A 15,774-nucleotide genomic window follows, 5' to 3' on the forward strand; every position below is an offset into this window, starting at 1 on the left:
CAGGCGGAAACTACCACGTCCAGCCTATTTATCTTATTTTGTTATTGTGAATGTGACATTTTCTTCCATTATACTTAAATTAGTTACTATTTGACAGAGAAAGTAGAGACAGTTATTGATGTTTGAATGCTAATTTTTTTTTTTTTTTTTTTGAGATGGAGTTCCACTTTGTCTCCCAGGCTGGAGCACAATGGCACGATCTGGGCTCACTGCAACCTCTGCCTCCTGGGTTCAAGTGATTCTCCTGCCTCAGCCTCCCACATAGCTGGGATTACAGGTGCTCGCCACCATGCCCAGCTAATTTTTGTGTTTTTAGTAGAGGTGGGGGTTTCACCATGTTGGCCAGGTTGGTCTTGAACTCCTAACCTCAGGTGATCTGCCCACCCTGGCTTCCCAAAGTGCTGGGATTATAGGTGTGAGCCACTGTGCCTGGCCTGAATGCTACTTTTTAAATCTGCTATATTACATTGTCTATTGTTTCTTTTTTTCTTTTTTAGAGATGGGAGTCTAGCTATATCCCCCAGGCTGGAGTGCAGTGGCACTATCATGATTCACAATGTAAACTTGAACTCCTGGCCTCAAGCAATCCTCCTGCCTCAGCCTCCTGATTAGCTGGAATTACAGGTGTATACCACCATGCTTGGCTTCTTATTGTTTCTTACAGTTCTTCAGTTGATCCTCTTAGATTTCCAACATCTAATCATATATAAATAATAATTTCATTTAAAACTTTTATGTACTATACTGTCACAATATTAAATAATGTGATCATGAATAGAATTTATGTTATGTCTTTTGACCTTAAGTCCAGTGCTCTTTTTTGAGTATATATTCAATCCACTAAATAGTTATTGAGCACCAACAATCTATAAAGCATTGCTATAGATGAGAAAGACATGGTAAAAAGAAAAATCATTCAGTGCCCACATTCATAATCTTTATTTATTTTTTTGAGATGAAGTCTCACTCTGTTGCCTAGGCTGGAGTTCAGTGGTGTGATCACAGCTCACTGAAGCCTCAAACTCCTGGGTTCAAGCGATCCTCCCATCTCAGCCTCCCAAGTAGCTGGGACTATAGCCATGTATCACCATATCTAGTTAATTTTTATTTATTTTTTGTAGAGATGGGGGCTCCTTGTGTTGCCTAGGCTGGTCTCCAACTCCTGGGCTGAAGTGATCCGACTGCCTCAGCCTCCCAAAGTGCTGGGATTACAGGCATGAGCCACTGTGCCCAACCTCATAATCTTTTCTTATCCCAACAAACAGATCTAGAGCCACAATAAAAACCCAGTTGATAATTCTTGCAATGTTAAAACCTATCCAGCAAATTCAATATTCTATCCTACTAAACTGAAATGTGACCATATGCAAAAATTATTCTCCAAGGACAGGAGTGTTTCGTTTTTGTTATTTTTTAGGAAGAGGGAAGCAGAATGAGCTGGGACTAAGGAAGTGAGTGAACAATGGGCATGCTAAGTAGATATTTACCTGAAAGCCAAATACATAAAATAAACAAGGGGCTGAATCTCCCCCGCTCAGAAAGCTAGAAGCAGAGCTTTCTGAAAGCATGAGTAATGTGACCTAAGGCAGAGTTTAACCTCAGGGGGAAGGTATAAGAAAAGAAAGCATGCATGAGCATATTTTTAAGTCTGTGAACTGCAATCGTGTGTAGCGAACAACCTAGTGAGATGAGACAGCAATGTAATAAATGTCATAATAAAGTTAAGTATTAACATAAGGTGCTAAAAGAGAATCTTTCTCAAAGGTGAGTCACTCATTTGGCAAGTGTGTATTGAGTACCTATTGAATGTCAGGCCCCAATCTACACACGACATGCCAAACAAAAATAGGCAGGATCCCTATTATAAGCTTACGGTCTACTGAGGGAGGTGGCTTTTATTTAAGAAAACATATAAATATGTGTGTGTATGATGTATATATTATTAGAAATTGTGCTAAGTGCTATACGGGAAATAATTCCATGAGAAAATAAGGTGACATAACTTACATTTGGGGCCTCAGGGAAAGCCTCTCTGAGAAGGCAGCCTTTAAGTTGAAAAGTGAGGGATGAATAAGCAGAGAGCATACCAGGCAGGAGTGATTTTTGGAGTGAAGTCTTCTGGGATGAGCGGCCTTCTATTCCCTCTGATGAACAGAGAGGAAAGGGAATCTCACTTATGCAAAAGCATGAAAGCACAGGTGTGACAGGTATGAGGAACTACAAGTTACCATAGCTCAGTAAGGGGACACGTGGACATGGAAACACCAGGAAAAGAGAAAAACAAAACGCAAAAATATGAAGAAGATGGAAGAGGAACAAACTAGAAATCCAATTCAGTATGTGTTGATTATTTACTATGTGCTTAGCAATATCTTAGGGGATTCTTAAAGCGGAAAAAGAATGGCTCCTCCTCTCAAGAAACTCGGAGTCTAAATGGGTAGATACTGACTGCATCCTCGACTAGATTCTTTTTTTTTTTCTTTTTTGAGACGGAGTCTCGCTCTGTTCCCAGGCTGGAGTGCAGTGGCGCAACCACGACTCACTGCAAGCTCCGCCTCCCGGGTTCACGCCATTCTCTTGCCTCAGCCTCAAGAGTAGCTGAGACTACAGGCGCCCGCCACCACGCCCGGCTAACTTTGTTTTTGTACTTTTAGTAGAGATGGGGTTTCACGGTGTTAGCCAGAATGGTCTCGATCTCCTGACCTCGTGATCTGCCCGCCTAGGCCTCCCAAAGTCCTGGGACTACAGGCGTGAGCCACTGCGCCCGGCCGACTAGATTCTTTTAATATCATAAACTGTGTTTTTGTTTTCCCAATCAGTAACTCCTAAAATGAATTTTTAAATTAACAAATGAATCTTACTTCCTGCCACAGGCCCCAGCTACTACTTTACAGCAATCTATGGCTAAAAATCACTGTTTTACTGGCTGCTTCTCAAAAGGCCAATAATGCTGATGAGGCTCTTCAGAGAGTGAGAAGTACTTTTTTTTTTTTTTTAAATCACCTCTTCATAGCCTCCTCCCAATAAGTACTTATAATTATATATAAGTAACAAGTTAATTTTTTCTTTACATATAGCATACTAGCTCTTTAAAAAATCTCATCTTTCCTGTTTCAGGATCTCAGATAGAAAAAAGTTAGGAACTGTTATTGAGGCTATTAAGCTTGAACGTCCTTGCTCTAATCTTTGCAAAGATAAAACCCACAATGCTCATTAAGCTGCTTGGATAAGCTGTTGTTTTACTTCTTACTGGAGGAGCTTAACAATGAAAAACAAAGCTAGCATGAGTTCTATCTACAAAAAGTGATGTCCTAATTTGAATTCAGTTCTAACATACTGTAATAATTCAATTAGTTCTGTGACTGAGGCAGAATGTCCCAGCCTTATGACAGTTCTCTTATTTTCTTCCTGTATTTTCCCTTTATTACTATGGTTTGGAACCCACATTTCAGTCTTATCCCTAGAGTCTAAGATAATTAAAATAGCACACATGGAGTTATATTTATTTGAGGGGGTAGGAGACAGCTGTGACTCTTTCAAGGCTGGGACTGGAGACAGTAAGCAATAGGCAGAGGTGTTTTGTTTTATTATATATATACACATACATTTTTTGAGTCAAGGTCTTGTTCTGTGGCCCAGGCTGGAATGCAGTGTTATGAACACAGCTCACTGCAGCCTCAACTTTCTGGGCTCAAGCGATCCTCCCAACTCAGCCTCCCGAGTAGCTGGGACTACAAGTGTGTGTTGCCACGCCTGGCTAACCTTATTTTTATAGAGACAGGGCCTTGCTATGTTGCCAGGTTGGTTGTGACCTCTTGGGCTCTAGCTATCCTCTTGCCTCGGCCTCCCAAAGTGCTGGGATTATAGGTGTGAGCCACCACACCAGCCATGTTTTGTTTTTAATTGGAGAAAGAAGCAATTCTATTAACAATTACCAACACACTGCCAAACTCTCAAGCAGAAATGAACATTGGTTCTTCTGTGCTGCTCTCTTCTTTGCTCAGCAGGCTCATACTACATGGGAGGAGGCAGTGCAGTGTGGGAGTCTGCCCAGGAGAAACAGTAACTTGCTGCTGGAGCAGGGTGTCCTAGAGGAGACCAGGAATTTGTTACAAGAACATGGTGGAGAAATTGATCTTGAAAAGAAGAGGTGGCTGGGCACGGTGGCTCACACTTGTAATGCCAGCACTTTGGGAGGCCGAGGTGGGTGGATCACTTGAGGTCAGCAATTCAAGACCAGCCTGACCAACATGGTGAAACCCCGTCTCTACCCAAAATACAAAAATTAGGATGGGCGCAGTGGCTCACGCCTGTAATCCCAGAACTTTGGGAGGCCGAGGTGGGTGGATCACCTGAGGTCAGGGGTTCGAGACCAGCCTGGCCAACATGATGAAACCCCATCTCTACTGAAAACACAAAAAATTAGCTGGGCATGGTGGCGGGCGCCTGTAATCCCAGCTACTCGGGAGGCTGAGGCAGGAGATTGCTTGAACCCAGGAGGCAGAGGTTGCAGTAAGCCAAGATCGCACCATTGCACTCTAGCCTGGGCAGTAAGAGCAAAACTCCGTCTCGGAAAAAAAAAAAAAAAAAAAAAATTAGCCGGGTGTGATGGTGCATGCCTGTAGTACCAGCTACTCAGGAAGCTGAGACAGTGAATTGCTTGAACCCAGGAGGCGGAGGTTACAGGGAGCTGAGATCATGCCACTGCATTCCAGCGTGAGCCATATAGCGACACTCCATCTTAAGAAAAAAGAAAGAAAAGAAGAGAAGAGGTACTTCTTCTTTTAACCTAGAAGAATAAGAATGGGTTCAGATAGAGATAAGAAGGGAGGTATAAGTTGGAAGGTAAGAAATGAGAAAGGTTTATGCCTTACGGTGATTCCCAAGTTTTCTTGGTTCTCAGAGCCCTTAGTGTTTCAGAATTTCTTTATGGCGCTCCCTGGACCAATAGAAAAATCTAACAGTTCCATTTACCAGGTACAGTTCAAACAACCTAATAAGTAGTTATGCCTGGATAATTTAGCAGCTGTTTGAAAAATAAATTGAGCACTATAGATAGAGTGGCTCTAGTTTTGATTTTTTTTTTTTTTTTTTTTTGAGACGGAGTCTCACTCTGTCGCCCAGGCTGGAATGCAGTGGGGCAATCTCAGCTCACTGCAACCTCTGCCTCCAGGGTTCAAGCAATTCTCCTGTCAGCCTCCCGAGATTACTACAGGGGATTACTACAGGCATGTGCCACCACGCCCACCTGGCTAGGTTTGATTTTTTTTAACTGCACATATAATTCACCCAACGACTATTATTCAGTGGTTTCTGGTATATTCAGAACTGTGCAATTATCACCTCTAAAAGAAACCCTGGGCTCATTAGCAGTCACGACTCCTTCCCTGTCATTTCCCCATCCCTAGGCTACCACAAATCTACTTTCTGTCTCTATACTACATTCCTTTTTTTTTTTTTTTTGAGTTGGAGTCTTGCTGTGTCGCCCAGCCTAAAGTGCAGTGGCTTGATCTCAGCTCACTGCAGCCTCCGCCTCCCGGGTTCAAGCAATTCTCCTGCCTCAGCCTCTCGAGTAGCTAGAATTACAGGTGCACGCCACCATTCCCAGCTAATTTTTGTATTTTTTTAGTAGAGACGAGGTTTCACCGTGTTGGCTAGGCTGGTCTCGAACCCCTGACCATGTGATCTGCCTGCCTTGGCCTCCCAAAGTGCTGGGATTACAGGCGTGAGCCACCACGCCCGACAACTACATTCCTTTCTATCATAGCTGATTAATATTCCATTGTATGGATATACCACATTTTGTTTATCCATTCATTAGTTGATGGGCATTTGGTTTGTTTCCACTTTTTGGCTATTTTGAATAATGCCGCTGTGAACATTCACGTATAAGTTTTTGTGTGAAATTTTTTTTTTGTTTTGTTTTGTTTTGAGATGGAGTCTCGCTCTGTCGCCCAGGCTGAAGTGCAATGGTGTGATCTCGGCTCACTGCAACCTCCGCCTCCTGGGTTCAAGCGATTCTCCTGCCTCAGCCTCCTGAGTAGCTGGGATTACAGGCCCGCACCACCACACCTGGCTAATTTTTGTATTTTTAGTACAGACGCAATTTCACCACGTTGGTGAGGCTGGTCTCGAACTCCTGACCTCATGATCCACCTGCCTCGGCCTCCCAAAACGCTGGGATTACAGACATGAGCCACTGCGCCCGGCCGTGTGAATATGTTTTGATTTCTCTTGGGTATATACATACGATTGGAATTGCTGGGTCCTATGGTAACTGTTGAAACTTTTACGGAACTGCCAGACTATTTTCCATATTGGCTATATTACTTTTCCTTCCTATCTGCAGTACATGGGGGTTTAAATTTCTCCACATTCTCACCAACACTTGTTATTGTTTATCTTTTTGATTATAGCCATCCTAGTGTATATGAAGTGACATCTCCTTGTGGTTTTAATTTGCATTTCCCTGATGGCTAATAATGTTGTGAATCTTTTCACGTGCTCCCTGGCCATTTGTGTAACTTTGCAGAAATGTCTATTCAGATCCTTTGTCCATTCTCTTTTTTTGACAGGGTCTTGCTCTGTTGCTCAGGCTGGTGTGCAGTGGTGTGATCATAGCTCCAGTTTTATAGTTTTAATTCTTACATTTAGGTCTTTAATTCATTCTGAGTTAATTTTTGTTTTTTTGAGACAGGGTCTCCCTCTGTTGCCCAGGCTGGAGTGTAGTGGTGCAATCACAGCTCACTGTAGCCTCAACCTCCTGGGCTCAAGTGATCCTCCTGCCTGAGCCTCCTAGGATTGCTAGAATACACCACCACGCTAATTTTTAAATTTTTTTTGTAGAGACAAGGTCTCACCATATTGCCCAGGCTGGTCTTGAACTTCTGGGTTCAAGTGATCCTCCTGCCTCAGCCTCCCAAGGTATTGGGATTACAGGCATAAGCCACCATGCCCAGCCTATCCAGGCTTTAAATACTACCTATCTGCTGATAACTGCAGAATACAGATGGGCAGCTCAGACCTCTTTCCAGACTTGATTATTCAACTGCCTTCTGGACATTCCCTGTGAATGCCTGATATCTCATACCCAACATGTGAAAAACGGAATTCCTGATCTTCCTTTCAAAACATGCTCTTCCTCAGCCTTCCTCATCTCTGTTAATGGCATTTCCATCGTCCAGTTGCTTATGCCTACGTTGGAGTCATTCCTGACTCCTTCATTTCTCCCACAAGCCACATCCCATCTGCTGGGAAATCCTATCGGCTTTACCTTCAGAGTATATGTAGGATTCTGTAGCCTCTTTTCATCTCAGTTGCTACCTACCTCTGGCACCTGTGGCCTGGATTACTACAGTTAGCTTCCTTAGTGACCTTCCTGTTCTACTCTTGCTTCCTTAAATCTATTCTCAAACCAGCAAACAAATAAATTCTTAAACCCTGCAATGGTTTCCCTGCTCACTCTGCTCCAGCCATAATGGCTTCTTACTGTTCCCTGAACACACTAGGCACACTTCCGCCTCGGGGTCTCTGCTCTAGTTTTTTCCTGTGCTTGGTCCACTCTTTTCCCAGTTCTTCCCATGGCCCACCTCCTTACTTCTTTCAAGTCTTTACAGAAATGTCACTGTCTCAAAGAGCCTTATTTTGACCAACATATTTGAAACTGCAAATTACCTGACATATTCTCAATCTCTCTTACCCTGACCTACTTCTTCTTCCTAGTGCTGATCACTACATGATGTACTTAGTTGTGCTCATTGCCTTTCTGTTATTGCTTATCCTTTGTTTTCTCCCTGTAAGAATATGGAATCCATGAGTGAGGAATTCCTGTTTACTGATGCATCCCAAAAGTTACAACAATGTAGCATATGTAGTCACTCAAAAATGTGAGAATACAGGCTGGCTGTGGTGGCTCATACCTGTAATCACAACACTTCGTGAGGCTAAGGCAGGAGGATCACTTGAGCCTAGGAGTTCAAGACCAGCCTGGGCAACATAGTGAGGCTGTCTTCATAAAAAATTTAAAAATGGCCGGGTATGGCGGCTCACGCCTGTAATCTCAGCACTTTGGGAGGCCGAGACGGGCAGATCACGAGGTCAAGAGATTGAGACCATCCTGGCCAACATGGTGAAACCCCATCTCTACTAAAAATACAAAAATTAGCTGGGCGTGGTGGCACATGCCTGTAGTCCCAGCTACTCAGGAGGCTGAGGTAGGAGAACAGCTTGAACCCGGGTGGTGGAGGTTGCAGTGAGTGGAGACCGTACCACTGCATTCCAGCCTGGCAAAAGAGCAAGACTCAGTCTCAAAAAAAATAAATAAGTAAATAAAAATAAAACTTAGCTGGGCATGGTGGTACGTTCCTGTAGTCCCAGCTACTCAGGAGGCTGGGACAGGAGGATGGCTTGAGCCTGGAAGGTTGAGGCTGCAATGAGCCGGGCCTGTACCACTGTACTTCCAGACCAGGCAACATAGTGAGACCCTGTCTCTAAAAAAAGGAAAAAGAAAAAAAATTGAGACAACAGAGAATTTTAACAAGGTTATTCCTACGCTTAAGTGTGCATACAATCTGGCTAAAAGGTAGCATATATGTAAAAAACATAAATATCAATACAAGGGGCTGGGCGTGGTGGCTCATGCCTGTAATCTCAGCACTCTGGGAGGCCGAGGTGGGCAGATCACTTGAGGTCAGGAGTTCGAGACCAACCTGGCCAAATGGCAAAGCCCTGTCTCTACTAAAAATACAAAAGAATTTAGCTGGCGTGGTGGTGCGCACCTGTAATCCCAGCTACTCAGGAGGCTGAGGCAGGAGAATTGGTTGAACCCGGGAGGTGGAGGTTGCAGTGAGCTGAGATTGTGCCACTGCACTCCAGCCTGGGCCACAGGGCCAGACTCTGTCTCAAAAAAAAAAATAAAAAAGGGAGCCGGCGGTGGGGGCGGGCTGGGCGCAGTGGCTCACGCCTGTAATCCCAGCACTTTGGGAGGCCAAGGCAGGTAGATCACCTGAGGTCAGGAGTTCAAGACCAGCCTGGCCAACATGGTGAAACCCCATCTCTACTAAAAACACAAAAATTAGCCAAGCATGGTAGTAGGCGCCTGTAGTCCCAGCTACCCAGGAGGCTGAGGCAGGAGAATCGCTTGAACCCAGGAGGTGGAGGTTGCAGTGAGCTGAGATCATGCCATTGCACTCCAGCCTGGGCAACAAGAGCAAAACTCCATCACAAAACAAAACAAAACAATAGAAGATAATTAACACATGCTGATAAGACTCTAATGATATAATGAATATGTACACAAAATTTTGAACACAATTATAGGGAGTTCAAACATTCCCTGAAGCCAACTATGGGTCCTGAGTTGAGAATCTTTGGTTTCAAATATGGTTTTATTACCCAGGGCTTGGTGAGAATGGGATTTAAACTAGTTCTTTTTTTTTTTTTTTGAGATGGAGTTTCACTCTTGTTGCCCAGGCTGGAGTGCAATGGCGTGATCTCGGCTCACTGCAACCTCCGCCTCCCAGGTTCAAGTGATTCTCCTGCCTCAGCCCCCCTAGTAGCTGGGATTACAGGCATATGGCACCACGCCTGGCTAATTTTGTATTTTCAGTAGAGACGGGGTTTCTCCATGTCAGTCAGGCTGGTCTCGAACTCCTGACCTCAGATGATCCGCCCGCCTCAGCCTCCCAAAGTGCTGGGATTACAGGCATGAGCCACGGCGCCCAGCCTAAACTAGTTCTTAAAGAATACACTATGAAGGAGAAAGAGGGGCAGTTGGGGGAAGGTCATCTCTAGCAAGGGACATAGCTAAGGATGACAGCAGGTTGGGCATGGTGCCTCATGCCTTGAATTTTGGGAGGCAGAGGTGGGTTGATTGCTTGAGCCCAGGAGTTTGGGACCTGCCTGGCCAACATGGTGAAACCACATCTCTACTAAAAATACAAAAATTAGCCGTGCATGGTGGCGGGCGCCTGTAGTCCCAGCTACTTGGGACGCTGAGGCAGGAGAATTGCTTCAACCTGGGAGACAGAGGTTGCAGTGAGCCGAGATTACGCCACTGCACTCCAGCCTGGGCAACAGAGTGAGACCTGTCTCAAAAAAAAAAAAACCCCGTCTCTATAAAAAATACAAAAATTAGCTGGGCACGGTGGCACATGCCTGCAGTCCCAGCTACTTGGGAGGTTTGCCAGGGCCTAGGAGGTGGAGGTTGCAGAGAGCCGACATGGAGCCACTACTCAAACCTGGGCGACAGAGCAAGGCTCTGTCTCAAAAAAAAAAAAAAAAAAAAAAAGGATGACAGTAGAAACGTTAGACTGGAATGGAGAATTTATGCAGTAGGTAAGAAACAGGCTGAGAAGTGCTGGTGTATCGTGTCAGGAATTGGTGGGTTCTTGGTCTCACTGACTTCAAGAATGAAGCCGCGGACCCTCGCAGTGAGTGTTACAACTCTTAAGGTGGCGCGTCTGGAGTTTGTTCCTTCTGATGTTCGGTTGTGTTCAGAGTTTCTTCCTTCTGATGGGTTCGTGGTCTCACTGGCTCAGGAGTGAAGCTGCAGACCTTCACGGTGAGTATTACAGCTCCTAAGGCAGCACGTCTGGAGTTGTTCGTTCCTCCCGGTGGGCTCGTGGTCTTGCTGGCTTCAGGAGTGAAGCTGCAAATCTTCGCGGTGAGTGTTACAGCTCATAAAAGCAGTGTGGACCCAAAGAGTGAGCAGTAGCAAGATTTATTGCAAAGGGAGAAAGAACAAAGCTTCTACAGTGCGGAAGTGAACCCGAGCGGGTTGCCAATGCTAGCTCGGGCAGCCTGCTTTTATTCTCTTATCTGGCCCCACCCACATCCTGCTGATTGGTAGAGCCGAGTGGCCTGTTTTGTCAGGCCGCTGATTGGTGCGTTTACAATCCCTGAGCTACATACAAAGGTTCTCCACGTCCCCATCAGATTAGTTAGATACAGAGTTTCCACACAGGTTCTCCAAGGCCCCACCAGAGCAGCTAGATACAGAGTGTCGACTGGTGCATTCACAAACCTTGAGCTAAACACAGGGTGCTGATTGGTGTGTTTACAAACCTTGAGCTAGATACAGAGTGCCGATTGGTGTATTTACAATCCCTGAGCTAGACATAAAAGTTCTCCAAGGCCCCACCAGAGCAGCTAGATACAGAGTGTGGATTGGTGCACTCACAAACCTTGAGCTAAACACAGGGTGCTGATTGGTGTGTTTACAAACCTTGAGCTAGATACAGAGTGCCGACTGGTGTATTTACAATCCCTGAGCTAGACATAAAGGTTCTCCAAGGCCCCACCAGAGTAGCTAGATACAGAGTGTGGATTGGTGCACTCACAAACCTTGAGCTAAACACAGGGTGCTGATTGGTGTGAGCCCAGCTGCCTTCACCTAGTGGATCCCGCACCGGGGCTGCAGGTGGAGCTGCCTGCCAGTCCTGCGCCGTGCGCTCGCATTCCTCAGCCCTTGGGTGGTCGATGGGACTGGGCGCCGTGGAGCAGGAGGTGGTGCTCGTCGGGGAGGCTCCGGCCGCACAGGAACCAATGGAGTGGGTGGGAGGCTCAGGCATGGGGGCTGCAGGTCCCGGAGCCCTGCCCCGCGGGAAGGCAGCTAAGGCCCGGCGAGAAATCGAGCACAGCGCCGGTGGGCCGGCACTGCTGGGGGACCCAGTACACCTCCGCAGCCACTGGCCCGGGTGCTAAGTCCCTCATTGCCCGGGGCCAGCAGGGCTGGCTGGCTACTCCAAGTGCGGGGCCCGCCAAGCCCACGCCCACCCGGAACTCCAGCTGGCCCGCAAGAGCCGCACGCAGCCCCGGTTCCCGCTCTCGCCTCTCCCTGCACACCTCCCTGCAAGCTGAGGGAGTGGGCTCCAGCCTTGGCCAGCCCAGAAAGGGGCTCCCACAGTGCAGTGGGGGGCTGAAGGGCTCCTCAAATGCCACCAAAGTGGGAGCCCAGGCAGGGGAGGCGCCGAGAGCAAGCCAGGGCTCTGAGGACTGCCAGCACGTTGTAACCTCTCAGTATGACTTAAATTGTGTGGGTATTTCAAATAATTGAAAGTTTTTGGACAAAAGAATATGTAATGTCTAAAGCACTGTTTTTAGAAAATTATTTTGGTAGTTGTTTAGAAGGAATTAATGCACAAAACCATCATAATGATTCAAGTTTGAAATGAAAAAATAATTCATAAGGTTTAGAAACTGATGAATTTATTTAGAAATACCCGGTTTGGGCCGGGCGCGGTGGCTCACGCTTGTAATCCCAGCATTTTGGGAGGGCAAGGTGGGCGGATCACGAGGTCAGGAGTTCGAGACCAGCCTGACCAACATGGCGAAACCCCGTCTCTGCTAAAAATACAAAAAAATTGGCCAGGCCTGGTGGCACATGCCTGTAGTCCCAGCTACTCGGGAGGCTGAGGCAGAAGACTCGCTTGAACCCGGGAGGCAGAGGTTACGGTGAGCCGAGATCATGCCACTGCACTCCAGCCTGGGCGACAGAGTGAGACTCGTCTCAAAAAAAAAAAAAAAAAAAAAAAGAAATACCCGGTTTGGGCCGGGCGCGGTGGCTCACGCCTATAATCCCAGCACTTCCGGAGGCCGAGGCTGGTGGATCACCTGAGGTCAGGAGTTCAAGACCAGCCTGGCCAACATGGTTAAAATCTGTCTCTACTAAAAAATACAAAAATTAGCCAGGTGTGGTGGCAGGTGCCTTAATCCCAGCTATTTGGGAGGCAGAGGCAGGAGAATCGTTTGAATCCGGGAGGCAGAGGTTGCAGTGAGTCGAGATTGAGCCATTGCACTCAAGCCTGGGGGACAAGAGCGAGACTTCTCTTAAAAAAAAAAAAGGAAACAAAAAAAAAAGAAATACCTGGTTTGAGGCCGGGCGCGGTGGCTCACGCCTGTAATCCTAGCACTCTGGGAAGCTGAGGTGGGTGGATCACCTGAGGTCAGGAGTTCGAGACCAGCCTGGCCAACGTGGTGAAACCCCGTCTCTACTAAAAATACAAAAATTAGCTGGGTGTGGTGGCATGCGCCTGTAATCCCAGCTATTCGGGAGACTGGGGCAGGAGAATTGCTTGAACTTGGGAGGCGGAGAGCTGAGACTGTGCCACTGCACTCCAGCCTGCGGAGAGCTGAGACTGTGCCACTGCACTCCAGCCTGGGCAACAGAGTGAGACTCCATCTCAAAAAAAAAATTTTTTTTTAAATTCCCGGTTTGAAATTGAAAATCAGAAATAAAATTAGGTCAGGCCCATTTATTTATTTATCTATTTATTTATTTATTTCCTGAGATGGAGTCTCGCTCTGTTGCCCAGGCTGGAGTGCAGTGGTGCCATCTCGGCTCATTGCAACCTCCACCTCCCGGGTTCAAGCAATTCTCTTGCCTCAGCCTCCCGAGCAGCTGGGATTACAGGCATGTGTCACCACGCCTGGCTAATTTTTGTACTTTTAGTAGAGATGGGATTTCACCATGTTGGCCAGGCGGTCTCAAACTCCTGACCTCGTGATCTGCCCGCCTCGGCCTCCCAAAGTGATGGGATTACAGGTGTGAGCCAACACGCCCAGCCATTCAGGCCTAGTTATTTAGATTTGGGTGTTGCTTATTGAATCTTTGAATATGGAGGAAAAGTTATGAGATAAAAAGAATAAAAATAGAGACTATTCAAAGGCTATGCATGGGACTGGGCACTGTGGCTCATGCCTGTAATACCAGCACTTTGGGAGGCCAAGGTGGGTGGATCAGCAGGTCAAGAGATCAAGACCATCCTGGCCAACATGGTGAAACCCCATCTCTACTAAAAATACAAAAATTAGCTGGGCGTGGTGGTGCACATCTGTAGTCCCAGCTACTCGGGAGGCTGAAGCAGGAGAATCGCTTGAACCTGGGAGGCAGAGGTTGCAGTGAGCCAAGATTGCACCACTGCACTCCAGCATGGCGACAGCGAGACTCCATCTAAGAAAAAAAAAACAAAACTAAACCAAAGGCTATGCATGAGACAAAGTGAACAGTTTATTACTGTGATTATAATAAAATGTTGAATTTATATAGGGTAAAATCTTGATAGAATGCTTGAATTATATAGGTATTATGGGAAATACAATGTTATGGTTAATTGAAGAATAATACAAAATTTTGTTTTAACTTTTGCTCGCTGGGTTTTTTTCCCCCCCCAAAAATTATACTTTTTTTCCTCTTGATAATTAGGAAACACAGATAAATTATTTTTAGATGATTCAAGATGCCACTATCCTTCAAGTTGATTATTGTAAAATACGTGTTTTCAATGTAAAATAACACAGTTATGGAGTTTGGGATATAGCCATGGTAACGACAGAACATACCCTGGTGTTTTAAGATTAGGGAAAGTCGGATAACATCAAAACAATTCTAAGAAAAAATTTTAAGTATTTTTCAGGCTCTATTAATTAAGAAGTACTTCAGTGCTTTTTTTTCTTTTTTTTTTCCAACACTACAAAGGCTAAAGATGTTATTATCAAATGTATTACTACATCATTGGCACAGTTTCTATTGGTATCTACTTGCTTTTTAATACGGAAGATGTTTATGATTTACACTCCTCCTACTTTAGAAATTCTCTCCATTCACTTCTTTTGTGCCCCTCCAGATATAATCTGAACTTCCAGGAATAGATCATTCTTGGTGTTACAAATGTTGGCTTCCCCCCTCCCTGGAATTCTATTAGAATGTTTCTGTCACTTTAGAAGCTTTCTTATTCTGGTGTAACATGCCAAGAAACCCAGGTATAAAATAGTGATTGTTGAATCTTACTTTGACACGTGTGCCCGTCCTTATAAATCTAGACCCTGTACATTACATGCATACAACTATCCCTATGGATCTACTAGTAAATAATCTCACAGACTCCACCTGAGGCTTCTGGAAAAAAAAACAATTACCTTAAATTTTATTAAGAGCTCTTCGTAACCTACTGAGCAAGATCAGTGAATCCTAAAAAGATTCAGTCCCCGGTTCCCAAAGCGCTTCCCCGCCCCGTGTTTCTGAACAGCTGGAGAGGACAAACCTCCGCTAAGAAGCGGAGGCCGCCAGTGCTCATCACACGCAGGAATTAGGATATCTGGCTTGAGAACACCTATGCTGTACCACATTCTTCTCTCCCCCTACCCCGCCTGAAATAAAACATAGTGAAGCGTAAATCTTGAGTCCCTTGGTACCTTCTCAGAAACGGCGGCGAGGAGGCTTCAGAGGGGCTTCCTGGGCGGGGATCCAGACGGTCGCGCGGGTATTCAGCACTCTGGGCGGGACAGTCCCTGTCCCGAAGGGAGGGCCCAGGAGGGGTGGAGCCGTCCCCGCCCGAACACGGGGGCATCCGCGCTCCCCGTAGGGTACCCCGCGTGCTGGCTCCGAAGCGGTGGCCGTCGGGGTGGCGCTCTTCCTCCGCTCTTTGGGGTCCCGGCGCCCCTCAGGGCAGGGCGGGAGACCGCTGAGGAGGCACCCTCAAGTTCACCTCAGGCTCATGACACCAGCCCCGCCGCGGTTCCCCCTGACCGGCTTTCCGCTGGCCCTGGCGGCTGCGGAACGGTCAACTAGACCCCACTAGCTGAAGCCGGCATCACCTGGGAAGCAGCCATGCCGCCCGGAGGCCACACCCGGGGGAGGAGCCTGCGGACGCCCAGTCGGGTGGAGCACGCCAGGTGAGCACGCCTGCGCAGTCGGGCCGTAAACAAGCCCACCCCTTCCCTTTGGCCCGCCCTCGCAGGGCTGGCCCGCGGGTGGGAGGGGCGAGAAGGAAGAGG

The 15,774-nt window shown here is 46.6% G+C and overlaps 2 protein-coding genes across 8 annotated transcripts in view, besides 1 other annotated feature; one reads left to right on the forward strand and one right to left on the reverse strand.

Moving 5' to 3' along the window:
- The window catches only part of HSP90AA1 (heat shock protein 90 alpha family class A member 1), a 59,008-nt gene extending 43,316 nt beyond the window's left edge, over positions 1-15,692 (reverse strand). For both annotated transcript variants that reach the window (XM_011536718.3, NM_001017963.3), the window contains exon 1: positions 15,193-15,692. In XM_011536718.3, coding sequence (XP_011535020.1) covers positions 15,193-15,347 — 155 coding nt within the window. In that variant the 5' untranslated portion in view covers positions 15,348-15,692. The remainder of the gene's footprint in view (positions 1-15,192) is intronic.
- Positions 15,080-15,275: a silencer, noted in NCBI's record as "fragment chr14:102605474-102605669 (GRCh37/hg19 assembly coordinates)". NCBI's record gives its function as "represses an EF-1alpha promoter that drives an FKBP-Casp9 reporter gene in an ReSE screen in HepG2 liver carcinoma cells {active_cell/tissue: HepG2}" and the evidence as "EXISTENCE:reporter gene assay evidence [ECO:0000049][PMID:32094911]".
- The window catches only part of WDR20 (WD repeat domain 20), an 85,417-nt gene continuing 85,008 nt past the window's right edge, over positions 15,366-15,774 (forward strand). For all 6 annotated transcript variants that reach the window (NM_001353662.2, XM_024449743.2, XM_024449742.2 and 3 more), the window contains exon 1: positions 15,366-15,672. The gene's annotated coding sequence lies outside the window, so the exon portion shown is untranslated. The remainder of the gene's footprint in view (positions 15,673-15,774) is intronic.

The sequence above is a fragment of the Homo sapiens genome, chromosome 14 (genome assembly GCF_000001405.40).
Source record: "Homo sapiens chromosome 14, GRCh38.p14 Primary Assembly".
Taxonomy (NCBI): domain Eukaryota; kingdom Metazoa; phylum Chordata; class Mammalia; order Primates; family Hominidae; genus Homo; species Homo sapiens.